This window comes from Homo sapiens, chromosome 6 (assembly GCF_000001405.40).
Source record: "Homo sapiens chromosome 6, GRCh38.p14 Primary Assembly".
NCBI classification, from domain to species: domain Eukaryota; kingdom Metazoa; phylum Chordata; class Mammalia; order Primates; family Hominidae; genus Homo; species Homo sapiens.
The window spans coordinates 50,302,681-50,314,913 of NC_000006.12; positions in this window are offsets into that span (position 1 = coordinate 50,302,681).

Consider the following 12,233-nt stretch of genomic DNA (forward strand, 5'->3'; position numbering starts at 1 on the left):
TTGGTTCCATATGAATTTTAAAACAGTTTTTTTCTAATTCTATGAAGAATGTCATTGGTTGTTTGATAGGAATAGCATTGAATCTATGAATTGCTTTGGGCGGTATGGCCATTTGCAGTATGGCCATTTGAATGATTTTGTTTCTTCCTATCCATGACCATGAAATGTTTTTCCATTTGTTTGTGTCATCTCTGATTTTTTTCAGTAGTGTTTTGCAATTCTCGTTATAGGGATCTTTCACCTCCCTGGTTAGCTGTATTCCTAGGTAAATTTCATTATTTTTGTGGCTATTTTGAATAGGATTCCATTTTTTTTTTTTTTTGAGTCTTGCTCTGTCACCAGGCTGGAGTGCAGTGGCACAATCTCAACTCACTGCAACCTCCACCTCCCGGGTTCAAGTGATTCTCCTGCCTCAGCTTACCGAGTAGCTGGGACTACAGGCACCCGCTACAAAGCCCAGTTAATGTTTGTATTTTTAGTAGAGATAGAGTTTCACCATGTTGGCCAGGATGGTTTCGATCTCTTGACCTCATGATCCACCCACCTCGGCCTCCCAAAGTGCTGGGATTACAGGTGTGAGCCACCACGCCCGGCCGGATTGCATTCTTGATTTGGCTCTCAAATTTGGATATTTTTGGTGTATAGAAATGCTACTGATTTTTGTACATTGATTTTGTATTCTGAAACTTTGCTGACATTGTTATCAGATGCAGAAGTTTTGGGGCAGAGACTACAGGGTTTTCTAGGTATAAAATCATATAGTCTGCAAACAGAGTTAGTTTGACTTTCTGTCTTCTTATTTGGATGCTTTTTATTTTTCTCTTGCCTGAGTGCAATAGAACAGATCTTAATGGAAAGCAAGTAATTTAAAAATAAAGAGAGCTTTATTAGATATGCATTGCCTTTTTGAACCATAGAATTTTAGAGCTAAAAGAAATGACAAACAGTATCTAGTCAGAAATAATAAAGCATCTTGGATATAAGCTATTTTAAAGATCCTCAGTTCCCCATACTTTTACCTACTACCAACTATTACAAAAATGAGAAAACCAAGGCCCAGTAAAGGAAAGTAAGGAAATTAAACGGATAAAGTTAATTAGGAACGAGACACAATTCCAGTCCAAGTCTCCTGACCCTGAAGTTGGTGTTGTTAAATCTACTTTACATTTTAAGTCAAAAATTTTGAGATAAACATGATGATTTCATATTTAATTGGGGAGGAGGTGATATTAAATTATTCTATTGTGATTTGGGTTATATGGAAAAAATGTGTTTCCAAGAATCTCTTTCCCTGTGTAGTTCTGGGTTTGAGTTGGTCAAAAGGGAAGTTGTGGGGAGGATACAGTGAGGCGGCACATGATTCTCTGATGATATTTAAGTCAGATGTGGTTGACAGACAGGTAATAAATGATGGCAGATTCCATCTTGTTCTACCTCTCCTTGTTTCATGTCCAGCTTTCTCTCTAACTTTTTGACACTTTTGACCAACGGCAACCACAGACACTGGGCCATGAACTCACAGAAGCAGTAGGTTCTTGGAACTACCAGTCCTCTGTGGGATTTCCCATCGGCTCCCCTTGGTGGTCTCATTCTGGCTGCAAGCTCTGACCTATTTACCCATACCAGGGCACCCAGGAGTGCTGGTTCAGAGATGTTTCTCTGATCTTCCAACTTATCTTTGTGGACAATCGCTTCTGTAGTGCCATTCAAGAAAGTGTAAGATTCTATAATAAGCTCTGTATTTTCTAATTCTTATATTATTTCTACTTTCATAAGTGAACCCTGACAGATATGAGTGGATGGGGTAATAAAGTAACACTTTAAACTTCCATGGTGTGGTAACTCAAGAGTAAACTCAAGGTGATGATAAAAATATTTATTCTCAAAATGTCCAAATTTACAAAGTAGCTCTTTATAGGTTCTAATTAATTCCTGTCTCATGAAGAAAAAAAGGCATGTTCAATTCAGAAATAGAGCAGCTTCAATTCAGAGAAACGAAGGTGACTCTACCAAGTCACTGCTGCCTACCGCTCCCACCCCGGGCTCATCTGACTCCCCTGCAGACAGTCCTCAGATGAATGCTGACACTATTGTGAAATTCTGCTAATTATACAAGTCACTTTTGAAATATTCATTTGGATTACTTTACAGAGATGGATATTAATGGCTTGCTGCTTTGAAAAAAAAGAAAATATTTTCTTTGATCTTGGAAAGTTGGGTCCTATACTTTGGTAAACGAAAATGGATTGGAGAGAAAGAAGTCTGAGCATTTCCTATTCATCCAAGTAATTATGGTAAAGTGAATTTTCTTGATTTTGGTGGTTAGATTTAAAGATACAGAGTGAGCAGTTGTAATCATCCTTTCAGGATTCATTCTGAAAATCACATTAGACCACAGATGTCTCAATCTGACCAACTCGATATGGTTCCACTCTCAAAAGTTATATCAAGAAATGCGGAATCATTACAACAAACAAAATTCAAGAAGTCCTTAGGCACTGGAATAGAACATATTGAATAAAAACTGACACTAGTCACACATTAAAGAATCAGGGATATTTAGTAGTGACTTAATGAAGAATGGAAGTCGATTGTTATTTGGAGCTTAAAAGCACTAATAACAGCATGATTCTCCGATTTCAATATGCAAAGATATCATCACTTTTGGAGTGTCCGCTAACAGTGAAGATTCCTGGGTTCTACTTTCTGGATATTCTCATTCAGTAGATATAGAATGAGACCTATATTAATTATCTATTGCTGCATAACAAACAATCCCAAAACCTAGTAGTATAAAGCAACAGACATTTATTGTCTCACACAATTTCTGAGGTCAGAAATCTAGATTTGACTTGGGACGCTGGGTCAGGTTTAATATCTCTCAGATGGTTACAAGTAAGCTGTCAGCTTGAGTTTTATCATTGGAAAAATTGAACGGAGCTGGAGGAGATGTTTAAACATAAGATATCTTACATATTTGGCTGTTGGCAGATGGCCTCAGACCTCATTCATTGTTGCCAGAAGACCTTAGTGCCTGGCCACATGGACTTTTCTGTAGGGCTTCTGTGTAGGACAACTTAGTCACTTAGCCTCTCTGTCTCTTAGATGACACACCAAAGTAAGTCAGGATCTTCCTCTGTCACTTGCCTCTCATCTTGGTTGCTTAGCCTCTCTGTCTCTTAGATGACTCACCAAAGTGATGCATTCTACCAGGGTTTGTCTGTATGGCCAAAGTGAGTCATCCAAGAGACAGAGAGGCTAAGAGACCAAGATGGAAGTTGTCATGTCCTTTACATTCTATTCTCAAAAGTGACCTACCATCACTTCTGCCATATTCTGTTAGTCATATAGACAAACCCTAGCAGAATGGGAGGCAGAATTTCACAAGAATGGGAATACCGTCATGGAGACTAATTTCTACAGGTTCCAAGTGTGGCAAGCCAGGTCTCACTAATGCAGATCTCCATAACAACTGTTTCAGCACTGACTAAGTGGTAAATAAATATTAAAAGCTGAAAGAGGCAGTGCTCTTATACAAAGCCTTGGGAGGTAACGAAAGCCCAGCAAGAGTTTTTCCTAGGCCTTTCCTGGGCATTGAAGCATGAGAAGATAACAAAGGAAATCTTAACAGGACCCATTTAGGATTAAACAAGTTTTATTGGGGGTCTGAAGAAACTCCCCAGGCCTCCACAAACAAGTTTATTGGTGGAAGGAACTCCCCAAATCTCCATGATTTAGCAGGAAAAAAGATAAGGGTAACACTCCAGCATGTGGATCCATTTAGATTAAGTAAATTTACCAAGGCTCCAGAGGAAGGTGTTCAGGACTCAGATCTTAGTTATAGCTTAAAATAAGTTAATTACTTATGTCTTTAGTTGAATGCACACTTGCATGTAGACATATAGCTTTGAAGGCATATAAGCTCTGGAAAACTTTATACTTTTGAGTTGGTCTGGTGATAATTTCCAGTTCTTCTCCCTGTAATGAGCTACAGAAATAAACTCCCTTCTCTTCTAGTTCATCTGTATTTTATTATTGGGCTGTAAAAATGAGCAGCCTGACCCTCAGTTTGGTCTGGGAACACAAGCACACTTTGATAAGAAAGTACCTCTGAGAATTCATTTGCATGTGGCCTGTAGACCATAGTTTGAGTTGGGGAAAAAAGGTCTACAGGGCATACTAGTTTAGTAAAAAGTGTATAATTCATTCATCTATCCATAAATCAACAAATATACATGATTTTCTGAAATTATTCATAGGAATTGTTGTTTATCATTGGGATATAGAGTCTTTGAACTGTAGCTGAACACGCTCCTGAGAGTCTGACAAAGGGATGACACTGAGGCTGATAGAAACTCCTACCTGGAAACTGAATCATCCTTAACAAGGAAAGCAATGACTTGATAACTGCCTGAAAGAGTGACAACTTTTAAGCCAGAATTTGTGAGTGTTGCCAATAAGAGGGCTGCTAGTCATCAGAAAGTGTAGTCACTCATACAGAAGCCCTTCTAGAGAAGGTAAAGTAGAAAAGAACCCAACGAGATTTGCTGAAGTTATGGCTGCCAGATAAGGCACAGCTCCCCAGCATTTTCCAACTAATGAAACCCATACCAGTTAAAGAGAAGGAAGAAACTTCCCGAGTTGGCAAGAAAGGGGGTTCCAGAGCAATTGCAAAAACACCCACTAGGTCTGTGGTAACGAATAGAGGGGGGAATTTAGCCCATCCGATAAAAGCTGGCTTGTCAGAGACAGGGAGCTGGCAGCCTTCCTAAGTCTCTAGAGCAGAATTTAAGTTCAAGATTTTGTATTTCACTTGGTTTAAACCTGTATGCCGGCAGTTGGTGATCCCTTCAAACCTTTCGTGTAAAGCATTGATAACAGGGATTAGAAGCTCTAGTCTAACAGAGAGATGCAGAGAATGAGTCTTTAGCTTCTGCTAAAAAGACACCAGCTCAAAAGTATATAACTTTTCAATGTAAACAGGCTGGTAAGGGGAATGTTCCGGTAGTTTATACTTCAACCAATGAAAACTCCCTCAACTACATGCATATCAGCACCAAATTAATGACAACAAGAAAAGAATCATCAATAGTCTTAGAATTTTTATTTCAGCTTCAGGTTTACTACAGAATATCAAGCAACCAGGATGCTGGAGATCTTTTCCAACACCCCCAAACTCAGGCCCTGAAAGACACAGGGCCCTGGTAACATAGTACAGAAAAATGGGGGCAATCCCCAGAAGACCATGCCTGCAGTTGTTTCAGATAAATCTTCACATCACCTTAGGGTGGTTGTTGAGGACTTAACTGAAACGACAATGGGCCCATGCCAAGGTTGAAGGATTAGCAAATAAAAGAATCTTAAAACCTCTAGCTGAGGGGATCAAAGCCTTTTCCTTTGGAGAACTAATAATAGACTTTGAGATTTATTTGAGCTAAAGCTAGTTAATATGCAATTAAATGGGAGAATATATACCAAATTCAAGGGTAGTAGAAAAATTTATATTTGCCCCATGAGTACTGAGGCTTCATCCTGAGAGTCCAAGCTAGTGCCAGGGAAAGGAAAGAAGCTAGGAACTTGTATAAATCTGTAGTACAGCAATGAAGACAGAAAATGTAAGCTTCTTTGAAATATGTGATGGATGACTAAATATCAGAGGTTAATAAATATTTCCCCAAATCATGTACTATTCAAAGGGCAAGATTATATTGGGCAGATTTAAAATAAACCTCATGGCCTGGTACGGTGGCTCATACCTGTAATCCCAACACTTTGGGAGGCCAAGGCAGGGGATCACTTGAGCCCAGGAGTTCGAGACCAACCAGGGCAACATGGCAAACCTCATCTCTACAAAAAAAATACAAAAAATTAGCTGGGTATGGTGGCACATCCCTGTAGTCACAGCTACTTGGGAGCCTGAAGTGGGTGGATCCCTTGAGCCCTGGAGGTCGAGGCTGCAGTGAGCTGTGATCATGTCACTGCACTCTAGCCTGGGCAACAGAGGGAGATCCTGTGTCAAAAAATAAAAAATAAAATAAAATAAACCTCACAATGAGGGATCAGAAAATTGTGTAAAGCATGCATTGCTCAGAGATTTGAAAGTGTATGATTAAATAGTTCTTAATCTTGGCCCACAAATTGCGTAGGTGAAAAAGAGACCTTTTACACTATCGTAAGTGTTGTTAGCTGAGTGACAATAATAGTTAATACACCATGCTGTAAAATTTCACTGGTGGTAATGATTCTCCATCTTCCCCACCAACCAAGGAGATCTTCCATATGGTATTCTAAAGTAGTTGCCTTTGCTCACCTTTCTAGTGCTTTGATTTTTCATATGAATTTCTCATATCTGAAATTATGGGGACAAATTAAGTTTGAAAGTTTTCAACGCTGCTCCCACCCCTGGACTTCTGATAATATTCTTTTTTCCATTATCTCTAAAAACAGAAACTCAAAAATATACCAACTGACAACTGAAAGGAAGCTTGATGTCATAATTCACAACCATGCTTCGCATCATTAAATCCCATTCTTCTCATCTGCTCATCCATTTGTTATCTGACCAGGTATCATGTTGGGCAACCTGGTTTCCAAAAAAAAGGTAATTTTATCTTTAGAAATTTCACACACTGAAGCAAAATTAGTTTTCCTAAAACTCTTCAACACTGGTTTTTTTCTTGAAATTATATATAAGATAAACTTTCATATATTTCATTTTAATGTTAGAAATCACATTTTCATTGCATCTTCATTTTTCCAACCTTAACATTTGTAATTCCTTCAATTAATTGATTTTTAACTATTTTCTAAATCTGATTAATCTACTCTTGTGTTGCAAGCTTTCTGTTTTAACCTTAATGTTTAAGCACTCAGAACTGAAGGCAGATTTTCCAGGTGGAAACTGGCAACCATTGATTAGAGAGGGATTCTTACTTCCCTAATTGAAATAACCTACTTCTGAGTTTATAAGCTTTGCTGACACCATACAAGGCATATTGTCTTACAAATCCCCCAAATCTGTCTTTAAAATGAGCTCTTCCTCACCTGCTTAATGTTTGTGTTTTTTTAGCAGCATGTGTTTTTTTAGCACATGTGTATGTGTTACCAGGATATTTTCTGATATAGCCATTACTCAAATATTTCAAAACTTTTTTTTAATTCTTGATTCTGTCTTCAATTCTGTCATCTGTTCTTCCTACTTTTCTGCCTCGTAAATGTGATGAGTATCCCTTCTCTATTGGGCTTTACTGAAACATTTCCTAGGGCTTGGAGGCTTTCAGCATTGATCTTTAATTTAACTATATTTCTCTAATAAACTAAACATACTAGTATCTTGTTTATTGAATCCTCTCAACTGTCTGTGAGAAACACATTATTATTTCATTTTTATGGGAGAGAAAATAGAGTTAGAAGAGTGATATGTCTGTTCACAACAGTGATGTGGTGAAGCCAGCTGCTATGGGATCATGCCAGCCAGTTGTCCACATTTCTTCTCAATTCTACATACAGTGATATCTCTTTGATAGCTTGAAATTGGCCATGATAGAATTTATACAGTAAGAACAGAAAACACTTAAAGCTCCCCCCCGCAACCCCCAGCCACCATAAAGAGCCCGTTGTTAGACATTTAGCAGCCCATCACTGGTCCAATGACACACTGTTGGTAAGAAACAAAACCAGGTCTTAATGTCTTCCTTCATAGTTCAATATTCAGGCCCTTTCCATATTATACAATATTTCTGAAATCAGATTTTTAAGTAAAGGACAGAAACAATCAATATTGTGGGGAGCTGGGTTTGCCGAGGTACTACTAAAATAGAAAATTTAGAAGAACAAAGATAAAGAAAGCCACTAGATTAAAAAATCTCACCCATTTCATATCTTACTCTTTTTGAAAAAATTGAAGGACCACTATATTGCTCATCATTTTCTATTCATCATCAACTAATAGTCTTGAAATACTTTTCTATTTATTTGTTAACCTGATTTTTCATAAAATATATTTTATTAGCATTAATATGTTAATATTAAACATATTTCCATACACACACTTGTGCTCATTGAATATCAATTTATTTTGTAAAACCAACACTGAATACAAATAGTTCTTCTTTGTTTCTCTTTGATTAATTCAGAACTAAATTAAATTTGTCAACCTCCAAAAAGTAACAAAGATTTACCCAGTGGAAAATAAAGCAGAAAATTCTTAGAATCAATTGACATTGTATGAAAAGTATTGACACTGACTCTTTTGGACAAGGTGTTCTCCATGGTATGTCTTATAGAAGTGAAAATGTGTCATGAGACACTACAAAGAGGTGTTTTACATGCTGGGAAGAAATTCTGACAAGTAAAACTTTTTTAGGGTAATCATAGCTCTAATTTTCTAACTCGACAACAGAGAGTCTACATTTTGTAAAGCCTGGGGAGAGAGGGACTAAAAAATACAACTCTTTCTTCTTGTTGTCTTAAAAAATATATATCTTCCAGGGGAAAAAAGTAGTTTTCACCTTTGAATGCCTATGTCCTCCTTCCTCTCTCAACTCTTTTCTGTGCTGTGGAGTTATTCTCCATTTGACAGATATCAGCCATATGACAATACTGTTTTTGTAGCAACGTGCAATCTTTCTTTTTACTGGAGAGGCCCAGTAGGCACAATTTTGGACTTGTTATTAAAGGAAAGCTAAAGTCCCCCAAAGATTTTCAAGACATTTCAAGCCAGAATGTGGTATTTTAAAGAATTCCCAGTTCCCATAATTGAATGCATGTGGCATAGCAAGAGAAAGAACATTTCAGCAAATAAAATAATTAATACAAATTAATACAATTTATTCTGGACAGTCTCACAGGATACATATAAATTTTATGCATAATTTTATAGACAATAAAACTGTTCAAACTATTTAAAACTCAGCTTTAAGACCAATGACCCAAGAAAGAGAGTAAAACAGGGAAGGCATTTGAAAGGGAAGAAGGCATCCCATTAATATTCATCTTGTATTTAAATTGGGCACAGTTTTCATCATTGGGAATATGTGCCCTACTGTTATAGTTTCTTGGGATGCTTGATCAAATCATTAGTAAAACTCAATCAGATTTCCACATGAAATAGAAATAATCCTCTCTTCAAAACAAGTTATTAAATCTTGAATGCACATTGCATATATGCTATCAATAGTGCACAAAATCTTTAATTATGATTATGAGTATCTCATAAATATTGGAAGATGAGTAAACTAGTTATGCTCATCACATGCAGAATCACCTTCTCTGATCATTTAAGTTTGAATATAACTTATCACACAGCAACATTTTAAAGTTAGAATTTTTTAAAGTGAAAGGAAGTAAACATCCAATTTTGACATCAATAACAATATACAGATTTATATGACTCACCTGAGTGTTTAAAATAGAATTTATATTTAAAAGAGGTTTTCATAATAATGGTCTTTATTCATCAACTCTGTATCAAAACTGGCTGATTTATGCGCATGTGTCCTCAAATGTAGACATCAGTACTAGTCTCTATAAGAAAGTTTTACATTAGTGTTTGTTAGCATGACAACAATATGCCACCAAGTTAAGAATAAATGAAAAATAATAGCATTTTAAAACTGACAAAAATATTGATATGATATTGCATAATATTATATTGAGATAATAGTTCCTACACTTTTTAATTTCATTTCACATTTTTGTACAAACCTGTAACTTACTATGATTATGGGAAATTATTTAGGGTTGAGGCCAGGGAAACTGTAAACCAAATTTTTCGTCTTAGAATTCTGTTATAAAGGAATTATCTAAACCATATATTTCTGGGAGTGGTAGGGTGAGCAGAGATGCAAGTAAAAATATGCTGGTGCAAACAATTCTTTCTACTCTCTATACCAACCAGCCTTACTTTCCCTTAGTGGAAAAAGGAACAGAGAAATCTGTTTGTGTACATCTGTAGGTTTTTAAAGTCACTGCCAACCCAATTCAACTCAACTGCTGTTTTTTGCAAGCAATGCTTAAAAGTGGAAAAGGCAAAGAACCTTGAATCTGTTAATAATGTTTTTGTTTTAAAAAGACCCTGGCCAACTACTTGTCAGCAGCAAAAATTAGAAACCTCTAGGATCATATAAGTTTTCAAATATGCAAGCTTAAATTCACATTTTTTTTAGAAAAGAAGATCACTTGGTATTAAAATGTTGCAAGTTTTTAGGTTTTGATGATTTGTTTGTAGTTTTTCTTTTCTGTTTGTTTGTTTTTTTCTCTATTTGGTTGGTTGGTTCTATAGGTTTTTTGTTTGTCTGTTTGTTTTCTAGCTTGTTTTTCATTTAAGCCTTTTCCTCTTCAATACTTATTTATTCTGAAATACTATTTAAATTTAAACACAGTAATAAATATTACTACCCATCTTTTTACTCCCTAAATATATGCAAGAACAAGAAAGAAAAAACTAGAAGGAAGAAAATGGAAAACCATTCTCACTGGAATCTAAAGCGACTAAATTATTTTTATCTGAAGATTAATGAAGAGGACACTAACTTGGTACAGGTAGTTTAGCTGCAAATGACAAGAGAGGTTTCTCATCTTTGAGGGAGCAGGGTTTTCAAGTTAACATCAGAAAATCTTGTCTTCTACTCTGTTCTTCCATTGACTTGTTTGATCTTGAGAGAATAACTTATTCTCTATGGGCCTCAGTTTTCTAAACTACAAAATAAAGGGAGCACATAATTTCTAAAGTCTTTCTGCTCTCAAATTCAGTGGGTTTTTTTAATAATTTATTATATACTAGTTGCTGAGAGTATGTAAAGATGAGTCCAATGTTGTTTGTTTGCCCCAGGATCCCCTCACCATCTTCCAAGGGAGATGTATCAGATATACATAAATATGTGACCTTTATTTTGGTGTGAGCATATCTTTAAATATGAATAAATAGTTACCAAGGGACACGACTGGCTTAGATTCATTCTGTTAATTTTTTTTTTTTTTTTTGCCCTTTTAGGAAGCACTGAGAAGGGTTGTGGTAAATGACAAGTGTGCTACTTCTTTAAAACAGAAATGTATAGCCACTTGTTATCACCATGGTTATTGATTGGCCATTTGTTTGGAAAATGATGAGAAAGATTGCCTGTGAGTGGATGAGAAACAAGTGATAACATCCTTTTAACATTTTAAAGAAAGGGACCCTGAAGCAGCGTAGAAGAACTCTGAATGTGCAGTCACTTTCCTAAGGGGTATACTTTATTGGATTAAATAAGTTAATGACTCTCATCTCCTGCTTCCATAAATATAAGCATCATAGAAAAAAATTTGTTTCATGAGTAATACCAGAAATATTTCTCTCATCTAGTGTGTCACCTAATTTTTTATTTTCAAATCTGTTTTGATTTATTAAAATTAAATAGCATTATTATCATAAAATCAACATAGACTCAAAAGACACTTAGGAAACAAATATATAAAGAGAAAAATAAAGATCACTATATCTCACCATCTAGTAATTCCTCAACAATTTACTGCATTTTGTCTCAATATTATATTCTACATATATATTTTTCTAAAATTGGCACTACTCAGTCAGTATATATAGTTTTGAATACGTTTTCACTTTAAACTTTATCATATACTTTTTTTACAATATCAGCAAACATGTATAATTGTTGTATAACATTGTGTAATGTATATGTGTAGTACTATGTCTGTGCCAGTTCTCCTCTTTTTGGATAAATATAGTTGTTTCACATTTGGGGATTTTACCAATGCACTGGACAATAATCAATAAAGTTTCTGGCAAAAAACGAAAACAAAAACTATTTTTCTTGCAAAAGTGCAATCAAGACATTCAAAGAAGTTCAAAATCTCTTTGTGAGGACAGAAACCAAAATAAAGAGAGAAAGTGATCATCAGAATCTGGGTGTAGTAGTTATGAGGAAATGACAAAATACGCAACAGTCAGAATGACAATGAACAAATAAAGCTCCTTAAACAAAAATGGTAACCTGTGGGAGGAGAAAGCAGTGGGCACATGCTGCTAAGGATGAGACAAGATGATGGCTTTTGAAGAACTTCAGCATGTCTCAAATGACCATCCCTACCCCCTTCATTCTAAACCAAATACCACTTGGGTTTAGGCCTGGCCTGGGAAAGTCTGTTTTCTTCTTTTAATCTCATGGCTTTACAACAAGCCCCTAATGCCTGAAGGTAAACTTGTATCTGTTCCTTAAAAGAGCCTAAGTTATATA